This window comes from Homo sapiens, chromosome 10, assembly GCF_000001405.40.
Source record: "Homo sapiens chromosome 10, GRCh38.p14 Primary Assembly".
Lineage (NCBI taxonomy): Eukaryota > Metazoa > Chordata > Mammalia > Primates > Hominidae > Homo > Homo sapiens.
The window spans coordinates 16,510,856-16,524,893 of NC_000010.11; the positions used below are offsets into that span (position 1 = coordinate 16,510,856).

The 14,038-nt window shown below is 42.2% G+C and overlaps 2 protein-coding genes across 12 annotated transcripts in view, besides 5 other annotated features; one reads left to right on the forward strand and one right to left on the reverse strand.

The window, feature by feature from the left end:
- Window positions 1-8,165, forward strand: part of PTER (phosphotriesterase related) — an 82,011-nt gene extending 73,846 nt beyond the window's left edge. For 9 of the 11 annotated variants that reach the window (XM_047426006.1, XM_047426007.1, NM_001001484.3 and 6 more), the window contains one exon: window positions 191-2,890. In XM_047426006.1, the coding sequence (XP_047281962.1) occupies window positions 191-401 (211 nt within the window). In that variant the 3' untranslated portion in view covers window positions 402-2,890. Of the gene's footprint in view, window positions 1-190; window positions 2,891-5,860 lie in introns of those variants that run through there. The other 2 variants (XR_007062017.1, XR_007062018.1) reach the window with 1 other exon arrangement.
- C1QL3 (complement C1q like 3) lies at window positions 2,879-11,024 on the reverse strand. Its single transcript, NM_001010908.2, has 2 exons — window positions 9,623-11,024; window positions 2,879-3,852 (listed from the first exon to the last, which is right to left on the reverse strand). Exons 1-2 carry the CDS (start codon window positions 10,208-10,210, stop codon window positions 3,673-3,675), a joined length of 768 nt encoding a protein of 255 aa, NP_001010908.1. The 5' UTR covers window positions 10,211-11,024; the 3' UTR covers window positions 2,879-3,672.
- Window positions 8,574-9,074: an enhancer, noted in NCBI's record as "H3K4me1 hESC enhancer chr10:16561428-16561928 (GRCh37/hg19 assembly coordinates)". NCBI's record gives its function as "activates a minimal SCP1, AML or CMV promoter by ChIP-STARR-seq in naive H9 embryonic stem cells {active_cell/tissue: H9 hESC(naive)}" and the evidence as "EXISTENCE:reporter gene assay evidence [ECO:0000049][PMID:30033119]".
- Window positions 9,075-9,575: an enhancer, noted in NCBI's record as "H3K4me1 hESC enhancer chr10:16561929-16562429 (GRCh37/hg19 assembly coordinates)". NCBI's record gives its function as "activates a minimal SCP1, AML or CMV promoter by ChIP-STARR-seq in naive H9 embryonic stem cells {active_cell/tissue: H9 hESC(naive)}" and the evidence as "EXISTENCE:reporter gene assay evidence [ECO:0000049][PMID:30033119]".
- Window positions 9,875-9,934: a silencer, noted in NCBI's record as "silent region_2176". NCBI's record gives its function as "represses an Ori minimal core promoter by ATAC-STARR-seq in GM12878 lymphoblastoid cells {active_cell/tissue: GM12878}" and the evidence as "EXISTENCE:reporter gene assay evidence [ECO:0000049][PMID:35858748]".
- Window positions 10,245-10,464: a silencer, noted in NCBI's record as "silent region_2177". NCBI's record gives its function as "represses an Ori minimal core promoter by ATAC-STARR-seq in GM12878 lymphoblastoid cells {active_cell/tissue: GM12878}" and the evidence as "EXISTENCE:reporter gene assay evidence [ECO:0000049][PMID:35858748]".
- Window positions 10,735-10,964: a silencer, noted in NCBI's record as "silent region_2178". NCBI's record gives its function as "represses an Ori minimal core promoter by ATAC-STARR-seq in GM12878 lymphoblastoid cells {active_cell/tissue: GM12878}" and the evidence as "EXISTENCE:reporter gene assay evidence [ECO:0000049][PMID:35858748]".

A 14,038-nucleotide genomic window follows, 5' to 3' on the forward strand; every position in this document is an offset into this window, starting at 1 on the left:
CCTGCTAGGATGCAGCAATATTTTTATCGTCACCACACAATATTTATTAAAGGTCTCTCAGTACACACGCCACAGTAGAAGTCAGTATCTTTACGACAAGCACAATAGGTTAATGAGTAAAAAGTTGAAAGCATCCTGAAAAGCGAAAATGAAAGACAAATGACATCTAATGAGTTAACATTTTTCACAGGGTGCGTCTCCTGGTGGAAGAGGGCTGTGAAGATCGAATTCTGGTAGCACATGACATACATACGAAAACCCGGCTGATGAAATATGGAGGTCACGGCTATTCTCATATACTCACCAATGTTGTTCCTAAAATGTTGCTGAGAGGCATAACTGAGAATGTGCTTGATAAGATTCTAATAGAGAACCCTAAGCAATGGCTAACTTTCAAATAGGATGGTTGCTTATGAATTCACACCTTGAGTATAAAACTTGCAGAGAACATTCAGCGATTTCCAGTCCACTGTGAGATATTAATCAGTTACCTAGGACTAATGACAGATCATTTCCTTCTGATGAGAACTAGGAGGGTTTGCCTTCTCTGAGACCAGCTATTACAACTGTGCCTCTAGGGAGTTACTCAGCCTAATTGAGCCCTATTATTTTAACTTAACAAAATAAATACAGAAGTACCTATTTCTAAACAATGATTTAAAGTCTATATCCCCTAAGCGGAGTTGTTGTTTTTCTCCCTAATCTATCAGCTGCACTACTTGAGAAAATTTAAAGTGTTTCTAGTTAAATTATTTCCTTCTTGAGCGATCTAATGTTTCTTGTAATATTGATGATCCTACTAATTATCCTGCTGTTCTTTAATTAATGCTTAATGAATAATATGGCACTGTAAAATAGCTTCTGCAACAAGGGAAGTTAAATTTTGAGACTTTTTTCCCCAAAGGATACTGACTGTAATACAATTACCAATTCACAATGATAAAAATATTTTGAAAGGTTAATTTTATACTGTCCACCTATCTATATATTCTTCTACTGAAATGATTTTGATATCTTTGGCTTTCCGGTATCTATTTTTGCCATACATTTTGCTGTTTTGCAAAGTTTGTATAAGAACACATAACACTACTGAATTATAAAAATTCAATCATAAAAGTCAAAATATATTACATAATATAGTTTAATGAATCATTACATTTATAATAACAAAGGCCACAATTTAATTAATTGGTAAGATATAATGCAAAAAAAAAAAGAGAAATGTTTGCCTTATGTATATTCCCTTTATTTCCTTTACCTTTTGTTTTTCCTTGGACCTAAACAGAGAAAATAATGCTTATGTATCTGAAGAAAAGGTCAGATCTATTGGAAATGACAGCCCGATACTTGAGCCTCCTCTTTAAAAGGTATCCAGCCCTGATATTTTGTGTAAATAAAATGTTTTTAAAACCTGTTAGTTAAAACACTTAGGTGATGGGCACTGCTGCTTATAAATTCATCTTTTGGTTGAATCCTCACTATGCTATTTGGTACCTAAAAATATTCTCCAAACCCTTGCTGCCAGTTCCTCTTTGATAAATATATAGTTAATTCGAAATAAAATCCATTGCAATTCATTTATGAGTTATCTTACATATCACAAAGACCAATTAGAATTAGTCATTATTCTTGATGAAGAGTCTGTTTTTAATCATAAAAATCATGACAGTTACTCAGACCCAGGCATTTCAACAGAGCTAACACCACCTTCAGATAGGCACACCATGCATAACTCTTGGGAAGTTGAGCTTTGCTAAATAAAAGATATTTCTGCTGATCAAAGATGATCAAGCTTTCTGTGTATTGGAACAGAAAGTAACAAAGAGGAATGAGCCAGGAGAACAAACTAATTCCTTTAAATAAATAAAAAAAAAAAATGCAAATGTCCTTCACCAGTAAAGCAAGCAAATTTTTAAAATCTCTGTTTTTGAAATCTACTCGTCAAAGAGTTTTCAGAGGCAATGAAAGGGGAACAGATTTTTCATTGTAATAGTGGAAGTTGTGTGATAGTTAGGAGATATCAACATGCATTTTTAATCTTTTCCTTAGATGAAAGAGATGGCTTTTGGCAGTGTGTTCTAACCAGAAAGAAAGGATTTGTATTACTCTCCAAATCTACTGTACTGTCAGCTTCACTCCACCTGAGAAAAAAGAAAAAAAAATTGATAGCTCAAATGCATGTAATTCATAAACACTGCAAAGGAGAGCCACTTGGTGTCTGCAGTCCTCATATTAACAGTCTGTCACAGAATGCAGTTAAAGTATTGATTGGCATATGGTAATAGAGCAACCATAGCCTTAACTTACAGACCTGTGAAATAAAGGGCATTTTGACCTAATACAATTAATTTTCTGGATAACTCTTAAAGAGAAGTCATTTTAACTGTTTTTGCTACTCCATATATTGTCATTCAAAATATATTTTAACCCAAAATAAGTTAAATAATTTGTGCATGTTTGTGTGTGTATATATGCATACACTTTTTTATATTAAAATTTTGAGGCTATACAGCCACTGTGCCCTGTGGAATAAAGCCATATATATAAATGTTTTATATGTATATGTTTTATACATAAATAAAACATTTCATCTAATATATATATGTGTGTGTGAGTATATGTGTGCATGTTTAGCAGATATTTGTATAAAATATAAACACTCTGTTGTCATATAGGCTATATGCGAAATTGTTAATTTTAAAATAACCTCAGGCCACAGACTTGTAGTAATCATTTGAAGGCCTCACCTAGTGTCCCCTTGGTGACGTATGCAGCAGCTCAAATTAAACCTTTGTGCATTGGGTTATGAATAATCTTTTCTTCCAAAGATGGCAAAAGCCTCGGTTTGATTTGATACTAAAGAATAAATTTCTCTGACTTTCCCAGTGAATCTAAATGTATTCAGTTGACAAAATGGACACATAAGGGCTTTTTCTAAATACCGTACATAATTACACATTTTCACACTTAGAGGGTAATCCTATGATACACTGTCAATCTCTATTTTTAAAGACTATCACCAGAAAAGAGAGAAAAGAAAATTCATATAAGAAAAAGAAAATGTGAAAAAGATCATAGGCTTGGGAATTCCCTCAAATCCAGAAAATTCCAGGTTAAGGCTTGAAGTTGAATCATTCCCAGGTCTAGCTCTAAGGTTAACAAGAGTACAAGGCAAACAATTTCTTTGGGGACAAGCAGCATTATTTCAATTAGACCTTCTCCTGCAGGGCAAAAATCATTCTTCCCCACACTATGAATGGACTCCAAGTATCATAATAAGCAGGTAAACTCACAAGAACCAAAGCTGACATATGGATAAAAGCAGCAAGATCACAGTACACCAAAGTATCATATATATAGAAGAAATAATTCAATGTCTTAGATTTGTCTATAAAAATTTGTGATCTATATAGGACTTCATTCACATGGACACTAACGATAAGGAGTATTTGCTTTGGCGGTAGTGGATCACACATCTGCTTATCTTGCTTTGATATTTTTTACATAATGTTTCTGAGTGATACAGATGTGAGTCAGGTAGCATTTGATTTCCCCACATATACACAACTGAGGTGCCCTGCCATTGGCATCCCCTGGGATCCTTGATTCACTGACGTTAGCCATACGAATCCAGTGTTCAAACTCAGAATAATAAGCTTAGTTTCTGCATTATCAGTCAGCATAAATAATAAATCCAGAAAACGTGCTGTATTTGTTGTTGTTTCCTCCATGGGCTTTCCCGCCATCTAATTTGATATAGACTTCATCTCCCGGCTCCAAATGAAGAACCACACTGTTACTGGCATAGTCGTAATTCTGATCAGCATCTTGGGCAATTGCACTAGCACGCACCTATGTGAAACAGACAAGAATTAGGATGCGTAAATGAGAATTCTCAAGTTTTCTTTTTTGCCATTCATGTAGCATCACAAGCTGACTTGCTGCCATAGTACAGAATTTAGCATAGCAAAGTCCATGTTGACCTCAGAGCTTTATGAGGATAGTGCTGTGGCAGTTTCCGCTACGTTAGTGAGAAGGAGGACAGAAAGGGACAAAATAGTGCTTCAGTGGGGACCATTCTGGCAGTCTTATCTAACTACACATTCTAAACTATGCATACAATTTATTATCTTCCTGTATCACTCGTTTTTCTAACTCCTTCGATCCCTATGCCCAATCACATTTTGAAATGAAACTAATAGTATTTTTTGCATTTTAATTTAAGCCAGATAGCAATATTCTAATCAGCTGTTTATGAGTACAGAAGTTCAAGTCTAAGTTCAGCTGTTCACCACAATTATTAGAAAATTGAGGTATGTAATAGCTAAAAATACCCAGGAAAATACCAACTCCTCTACTACTTACAAAGAAAAAAAAAAAAAAGAAAAAGTCTTTTGATTTAGGGCTTTCCAAATCTAATTCATGTAAAGCCCCCTTTACCAGGCTGCTTCAGAAGCTTAGCTCATTTATACATCTTTGATTATATCACCTGAGTTTTCAGAGTTCTTTTTTCCATCGTGTCTTTTTATTACTTAACTATGACATGTGCATTTAAATCAAGAATTTAACCTCAACATATCTAAAAGTTAAAGAAAGGACTAAATTTTCATGCTCTGAGGCCTCTCAAGTTTCAAGAATTTTTGAATGATTTCGTTGAATATCCACTTACACTTAGGAGATTCTAAATATGTGGCTTGATTTGAGGGCAGAGGCTGCTTATAATCTGCCCATGGTAAGCCTGTGATCTCATTAGTGAGTTGATAGACATTTACAAACAGTCAAATTGCCTATCATCTCATGCATTGTGGACATTCTGTCAGATCCTTAGCTCAAATTAGGCTTCATATTCATTTAGATATATTGTGATTCTGCCTTGGAAAATCTTTCAACAGGCAGACTTAGATTTGATTTATTTCAGTAAAACATCTTCTACTTTGTGGCTTGTTTCATTTCTATTCCACTATAATGATATTTCCCTGAATAACATAGCAAGTGATTTAGTGGTTTTGTAAACCTGCACTATGTAATAATGCATGATTTGGGGTACAATATGCTGGATTTTATCACTTGGCAAAATGAGAGAAATGAGACAGAAGTCAAGAATTTCCATGCATTTCTTTCAAAATTTAAATGATGAGTTTTCCAATTAAATTTTCTTGTGATATAGTCTCACGTTAATGCTGAAATGTTAAAAAAAGAAGACTCTTTAACACTGCTGAACTTGTAAAGTCATTTGAGTAGTATCTTTAAAGTGTCTTTCTGGGTATCACATAGCAAAAGGAGAAAATGGCTTAAAGGATTTAGAATTGCTTAACGCTGTACTAACAGGCACTAATATAATGAAAGCAATATACCATGTAATTATGCTTGGAAGCACTGACTCCAATATATATGCCAATTTAGTAAAGTGGTCCGTTTTGACCATTAAATAATGACGCAGTTTGACTTCATAATATTTTCTAAAGATTAATCATGAGTTTGTAGGAGTTGAATGCTTTGATTCATTAATTTCATCTAGCCATTAATTCCCAGGGAAACAAATCTACAAGAAGGATATTGCTATTATGACTTGTGTTTTTTTCTCATCTTTGGATTTTTAATGGTGAAAAAAATTAAAAACAAAATATTCATGAGCTATATTAGTAATACATTAGTTATCAACCCATAATATACTCCTCAGCTATTACTAATAACCAGACATATTTTATTCAGTGCTTTGGGTATTTAGGACATGTTCTATGGTTACTGGGCTTTAACATGGTTTTCTACATGAAGGTATTGGAGAAACAGGACATACTAAAATTACTTGATTTAGACACAATAATCCTTTTAAAAATATAATGCCATTTTTATTCTCCAGGGTGTAACCACAAAACCGAGTGAACGTCACCATTTTTATTCAGTAGGCGTAACCACAAATTCCTGCGAATGCATTAGAGTGATTCCACAGACTGAAAGGTTACCCTCACAGTTTCTACCACCTTTGTTGGATCAAGCCAGTGTGGTTGCTTTTTAATGAATGTAATTCTGTAAGATTTTAACCTATACTGTACCGTAAGACTGTCCCAATTAAATAATTGCCATACTCCAGTGTACCTGGCATGATTTTGGTATGGCTGCTCACCTGATCCTACTCTAAAGATATAACAGGACTTGAAATTTCAAGCTCTAGTATTCAGCTCAGTGACTTCAACAATTCTTTCAAGCCATCAAACTATTGAGGAAGGCAATGTGTTCACCCTGGAGGCTGTTTCCAGATTCCTAAATGTACAGTGATTTCAGCATTCTGTCTGGGAATAAGATCCATCCTTCCTTCAGCGCAATCAACCGATTTCTACCTGAATTTACTCTAATATCTTTTCTTATTACAAGATAACTATTTAGATTCTGCTTTATGTTTAGTCCGTATTTCTTTAACCCTAAAAAGATTATGAATTTGACATGTCATTGATCTCTCTAATAAGCGAATACCAACCCACAAACCACTCATCCTTTTAAAAATATTTCATGGGCATCGGTGCCATAACTAATAAATTTTTAAGAGTACCAACTGGTCTTTAATTATTTTATGCTTTTAATCCTGAAACAGTATTAGTTTTCATTCGAGTGGCTTATTTATTATAGTGGCATTAGAGTGATTGTATTCAAATAGCAATTTTTCTTCATGTTTTCTGCTAAAAGGATTATCAACATTAAAGAGATTTCCTCTTTCCAAATGTAAAGCTATTTGAGTTGAACTTTTACCTTTAATATGCACTGTCATGGGCTTTCAACAAATGGTAGGATTAAATTTAGGTTGATGGCTTCATGGGGAGTATGAGAGCTGCGGTCATTTTAGGGATATGTTTCTGTGTCTGCAATAGGTTTCATAGTTTTAGCATTATCTTATTAGTGAGGATCTATCATTAGAGATCATATTTATGGTGACATTTGTAATTTAATTAATTGCTACTGATGTTCTCGTAATTTCATTTTCATTGTACTTCTGTGGAATCATAAACAAAAGGTTAAGTGGCACATCAGGTTAATTTACTGGTCTTTGATGTTTCCATCTGTGATCTTACATTCTACACAAAGTATAAATAAAATGGCTCTCATATGGTTACAGTCCAGAAGCATTTCTCTCTCTTAGAGGGAACTGCATTTTTAGTTTAATTTTTGTGCTTCTCAAAATCCACTTAATCCATAGAACATTACACTGACATGGATCTCTGAGTTTCTGTTTTATGAAAAATTAAGTCAGCTCAGAGAGGGAACCTGCCATTCTAAGAAGTGATCAGACCAGAATATAATTGAAAAGCAAGAGTGAAGTATTATTTAAAATTAATAAAAAGATTTTAAAAGATTTCTCATTTGTAACTGCCTGCAGACTGGACTTGACAAAATAGTTCTAATCTAGAGATAAAATTCCTTAACTGTAGTAGTGTAGTAACCATTTTCCAAAATAGTCCACACTGAACTAAAAAAAAATGTTTACCACTATAGATTTATTTTTCTGAATTACCTGTTGCATACCTTTTGCAGAAGTAGCAGCTTAATATTACCAATGAAAAGACTTATACATTATAAGGTCAGCTGTTTTACCTTACTATTTTTCCTGATCCTCATGGAATGTGTGTGCTAGTGTGATACAAAGGAAGATTTTACACCCCAAACAGTGAAATAATTTTAAAAACAAAACGCACATAGAACACCTACATGGTGTTATTTTCTTCAAATCAGTGTAATATACACAGGCTCAGCAGTCTAGACATCAACATTTAAACTAATTTAAATGTATTAATCCCTTCTTTTTTCATGCAATTGCAATTTCCAGATATTTAAAGATGTGAGCATTTTTACACATTTGCTGATAAAATTGGAATCATTTCATTTTAATTGATACCTCTAAAAATCATCTCTTCAGCCCGATTGTATTTTCCAGACCTGACCTTTGAGTCAGAAGAGAGCCAATTTGCAAATAAAGGGGTGTCTCATGGCTGCCTGCTGAGGGACTGTTCATAAGCCTTTTTGTGAGGGTGATTCAATAGCTCCATTCTGGTACAGTGAGTCCTGCCCGTTTTAGCCATTTGCCTATAACTGTTTTACTGTTCTGTGAATAATTTTTATTTATCTTAATATTATTTTCATGCATAATAACTATAATAAACAACCCTGTCAGTGCCTCCTGGTGGCCATTTTTCCTCTTTTTGTTATATGTGTCCTGAGGGTCCCTTAAGCTATTTGTAGGATAGGGTAGAGAATAGGACGTTTTTTGTCTTTTTTCTCTCTTACGCATTTAGGACTTTTTTTTTTTTTTTTTTGGTCTTTCACTTTTGAAAGAATTCTGACACTGAAGTAGGTCTTCCGAATCCTGCTTGAATGGTGCTTAACAGAAACCTGGGTTATAGCTAAGAATCTCTGAATGTCCAGGGGTCGAGTTACCTAAAGCCCAATAGACCTCGTTAAGTCAAAGTTGCTGCAGGAGAGGAGGTCTCTTGATGGCGATGCCAGGGTCGCGGGCCATCCCCTATGCCACTCAATAAGCAAAGTTAAAACCGAGAAACTCAGCCCACACCGCAGGCTGCAGGCTGCAAGGCCTCGCCTCAGTGGCTACTGATTCAGCGTGCACAGAAGGTCCCATTACACTTTTAGGTAGTTACAAATATTATTTTCCTCCTTTGACTAAGAGATCAAACAAGCTTCGGTTTTGCAATGACCTCGAATTTCTCCACAGTAAAGTGGCCCCAGCAGAATACTGCAGACCCATGCGTAGCCCTTGTAGCGGCGCCGACCGGCTCAGGGAATCAAATCCTCTTGGCCGGCTGGTCCAGAGGCCGATAGACCCGGGGCTGGGCTCGAACCGGTCGCCCCCCAGGCCACCTGCCTGAGCGTCCTCCGACTCCATAGAGAGTTTGGGTTCTGAGTCTGGCTGCGCGCTGTGTTTCACCGCATGAACCCCCGAATCTCAACTATTCTTTTTGTTATCAGCACTCCTTGCCTCTCCCCTCCGCTATTTTTTGGCTGAAGACGAAACTGGAGTTTGCGCCTTGAAATTGACTATATGTGAGTTTCACGGCCTGGGACACCGCAAGGACTCGGCGACGGCGAGCCCCACGGTCGCTCCTCCGCTGTGGCTGAGCCCTGCTTGGACTCATTCCTTCGGGGCCCTTGTTTCTCCCTCCGGCCTTTGTCTACCACCCCCGAGTCGGTCACCCTGCCACGCCCATTCCGGACTCCCCCAGGCCTCTCCACTCCCCAGAAAGCCCGTAAGCTACCCTCTGTTGCGGAGGATCCCACGGCCAGGGGTCGCTTCCCGCGCCGGGACTCCCCAGCGCACGAGCTGTCCCCGGGACCCAGCTCCCGGCTTCCCGCCCCTCGAGGGTCGCGCTCGCAGGGGCGCGCACCGATCGAGGGTCCCAGACTCCGGAACTGCCCTCTCCAGGCCGCGGGGCGCCCTCCTGCGCGCACGACCCCCGCCTCTCCAGGGTGGGACGGCGTCCCCCCTTGCCGTCGCTCCAGGGAGCCCGGCCGCCGCGCCCTTCCTCCGCGGGCTCCCACCCCCATTTCCGGGGTCTCCTCCCTCTCGCCCGCACCTTCCCGCGCTCCCTCCCCGCCCTCCCCGCCGCCCGCCCGCGCTCACCTGGTTGTTTTTGCAGAGATCAGCCCACATGCTGGTGCCGTCCCCTCCGCGCATCAGGACGTGGTAGGTGAAGAAGTAGATGCCCGGGATGGAGCAGGTGAACTTGCCGGTGGTGGGGTCGTAGTGGTTTCCGAGGTTGGTGACCACGTCGTCGAACTTGAGCACCTCGTAGCCTTCATGCTGCCGCTTGAGGCCGGCGTAGAAGGCGATCTTGGGCACCGTGCTGTAGGTGGCGGCGCTGATGGCCCCGGCCGCGTTCAGGCCGGGCGCCCCGGGCGGGCCCGGCAGGCCTTGGCGGCCCGGCTCGCCCTTCTCGCCCGGGGGCCCCATGGGGCCGGGTGGCCCGGGCTCTCCGGGGGGCCCGCGCGGACCCGCCTTCCCGGGCCTGCCGGCCTCGCCTTTGGGGCCCTGGATGAAGGTGGGCAGGGACTGCATGAGGCCGCGGTCGGGCGTGGCAGCGGTGCTGGGCGCCTTGGTGCCCCCGTAGGGGTCGCAGACCATGCGGCAGGTGCCCAGCATCTCGTAGTGCGCCGACGTGCCGGCCGAGCTCACCAGCACCGGGATGAGGATCACCAGCAGCAGCACCATCACCACCCCCAGCGCCCCGGCGGCGATCAGGCGCCTCCTGCTGCCCACCAGCCGGCTCAGCGCGGGGCGATCCTCTTGTCTGCTTTTGGACAGAATTTTGAAGGTTGGGCGGGGACCTCTTCAGAGCCGAAAACAACCCCCTGCGAACCCCAACTCCCCTGGGCGTGCGTGCGCCGGCCGCTGCTGCCGACTCCTGCTCCCCCCGCGGAGGCTGCGGCTGGGGAGGGAGCGCGGGCGCCCAGTGACTTGAGCCGAAGTCCCGAGCCCGGGGTGGGGGCCGGGGGAGGGGTGCGCGGGGCGCCCTCGCCCCCCGCGAGCTCCTTCGCACCTGTGGCTGCAGCCGGCGCCGGCGCGGCCACCGGGAGGGCAGAGCCAGCCGCCGCCTCCTGAGCTCGCCCGGGCAGCTCACACTTTTATGCCGCCGCCGCCTGCGATCGACTTTTCCGTTTTTGCAGACTGCGCCTGTTCGCACCAACTTTCCGTCTGAAGTTGCCTTTTTCTGCCTCCTCCTCCTCTTCTTTCGCTCGCTCAGTTCGCCCGTCCGCTGCCTTTTTTTTTTATTGCCTCCTTTCTCTCTTCCTCCTTTGCCACCACCACAACTCGAATAGACGCGCACCCCAAAGCCCCGCGTGGGCCCGGGCGTCCCCCGGGTGCGCCCAGCGGCGGCGGCGGCGGGCACGGTCGGCACGGCGAGGCTCAGAGCTGGGGCGGAGGAGCGAGCGAGCAGCGGCGAGCGCCTCACGGCCGGGAGCGGAGCGAGAGAGAGACTGAAGGCAGAATTCTGCCTGGGTACCACCTGCCAGGAGAAGAGGAGGCTGACAAACGCGCGCCGGAGCAATTTATAGGCACCCAAGGCACAGAGGAAGGGGAGCCGCTTTGGCATCTCATTGCAGCATCTGCTCTGCTCATCCCACTCAGAGAGAGTTTGGCATTACTCTGACAATGTGGGATTTTTTTTTTTTTTTCGGCCTCTCTTTTTTTCTCTCTCTGCACATGGATGAACAGTGAGATTCTGAATACTCCCTTGCTGAACCAAGCGATGGCAGGTCCTGCTGGACCCACCTGGGGAAGGGAGACAGCTGTGCGACAGCTTTCAGAGCTCAAGGGTCACACCTAAATCCCCGATTTCCCCACTGCCAGCAGCCCCAGTTGGAGGGTGGAGGTGAAGGTTGAAAGGAGGGTGGCTGAGTTGACAGTTTCTTTGCTAGCTCCTCTACAATCAGTGCTTCAGGTGTTTTCAAAATGCCACTGTTAACAGAAGGAGGGCCTTTTAGAATTTTCCAGATGGTAGATGTGATTTTCTTTTAACCTGATGGTTTTCCTCCTCTGCCTTGTAAATGAATAAGATGTTGCCCCAAGAACAGTGAGGTATGTTGAAAAGCCAAAGAACATTTGTGAATGATTTTAAATGAACATGTCCACCGCCTCTGGGGGAGGAGGGGGTTGGTCCTTTTTACAAATGCTGCACCGTGGTGAGTGCATACATACGTACTGTGCTTACAGTCTTACAGTTCTAGCAGTCTTTCGGGGGATACCGCCAATGGCCCTGAAGTTGCGTTTACTTAAAGTCGCTAAATGTACAAGAAATAACCACTTGTCAAAATGGCGTCAAAAGATCAAGCAAGAAGCTTTTGCACAAGTGCTGGGCAAGGTCTTTTCCTAGCATATGGAAAGAGTTCTATAAGCTCCATAGCAGATTTCCCGAATATACATTGAGGGAGGGGAGAAGTAGGAGAAATACAAGAAAGAAGAGCCCCCATTCTCAGTGGGTGAGCTGCAGAAGGAACAGCATGGTTTATCATATTACTGGAAGGCCTCCAGGGTAGATATCAGGCAAGTTACCCCACCAACAAATACATAAGACACACAAGAATGGCTTTAAATAAATAAGTAGAATTGAATCCTAAATCATACTTTTGCATTCAGGAGCAACAGATGTCAATCAAACGTGGGTGACATTTGCTTGTCAATACGAGGATGATGGCTGGGAAGACGGTGACTTATTACATCAGGGTGAGAATCTGAAATGAGAAAAGCAGGAACAAATAAGACTACAGCAAGCAAACAGTAACATCCTGGGTGACGATCAGCAGCCTGTGATCTTGTCTGCGGGTGTCACAGCATGGACTTCTCCTTTCCTCCCTGTGCCTCAATCTCCCCGCCCCCCAGCCTACTCCAGTCCACCCCACCAATTTAGTTCTTTCTTTCTTTCTTTCTTCTCTGTTTCAAAACAAAATAAGGTCAAACGAGCAGACAGAAGGAAACAAAGACTGAATGATTCTTTTAAGAGAAATGTCAGTAGCTCCTTCAGGCCTTGGCTGGGAGAATCAACCCTAAAAGCTGTGCTGTGTGGCTCAGCGGGGTGGGGGTCTCCACCTCCTGGCTACTGAGAGAGCCACACTGCTCCTGGTATTGGAAAATAGGGCTTCCCACTTCTCAAGCCCTTAACTTTTATTTTAGGGTAGTGGTTTTATAAATGCGCGCCTATTGCTTGGGCATAATTATACACATAGTTCCATAATATTTTTGTTCACATGAGCTGCCTTATTTTCATATTTTTAAGGAGCAAACACATAATAAGTTGTCTCCTGGCCATAATACTTACTTTCCTAACACACCTTCTGGATTGCTTCTTAAAAGTCACCTTCCTTTTGGAGGACAAAATGGTGAGGTTTGCTGCCAGCACTGGGGGGGTAGGATATTAATAAAACTCTGATGCACCAGATTATCAAATTTCATAAGGCCTCTCTATTGCTATGAAGAGTTCTGTAGGTGACACAAAAGGAGTTTTTAAAAGGTAGAGATGTATAGAGAAGTTCTCATCAAAACCTCAAGCTATGTGGAGTTTTCCCATTGACTAACGCTTAAGATATATTGGAGTCAAATGCTCATAAAATGCTCATCAATGCTTATAAAATATTAAGAGTTGAAATGGACTCTCTGTTCATGCAGATGATGAGACCGAAACAGAGAGCTTCCAGGAGGATCAATGCCATTCAATGAGCTTGCTGCTGTACTCCCCTCTACACAATATGGATATATCCCATCCCAGCCCGAGACTGGCCATACTAGTTCTAGTAACTGAGGCTTTCCTCCTACTTTCTCTGACGCCAAAGCAAATTTGATTTTGCAAGTGAGTGCCCTCACATTTTAAAGCTCTGCTGAGATTTAGAAAGGCACTCAGCAGTCATCATTCATCATGAAGTCACTCCCTCCCAGGCCACGTGGCTGACCCCAGACTTTCTATTAACTGCACAAGCCTGGGCAACACATGGATATTTGGCTCTGTAGTGAAGCAAATTTAAATTCTTGGTCTCCTTCCTCTCCTCCAGAAGTATCTCACTGTGCACTTTGGGGGAACCTTTTGGTTCCCCCACAATTTTCAAGGATGACTTGGTAGTAAACGAACTTATGGCTGGTTACTGAGACTTTCTACTGCTTGAATTTCCCAGAAGGTTCTCTGCAAAGTTACTCACGCTTCAGCTCTTGTTCTGACAGTTTGGATAAACCATCTGATATGGCATATTACTCATCATCTTCATATATATAATAATAGAAAACGTGTCAATTAAAAAAATATTTGATTTTCTTCAGTCCTCATTAGAGAACCAAGTTTTCTCTCATATTCGATAAGAATCTTGGAAGTGGGCCCTGGACTCTCATTTCTGCAGCATCTCCCAACCATCTCTCAAGAAAACACCAGGCTCCCTACTCCCATTGCACCTGTACCTGGACCTTGTGGACCCTCCAGAAGATGAAGTCCAATCCAGAAAGCCGTGATCATGGTTGGATCACAATCCTGTGATTTTCTTCTTCCCCACACCATTT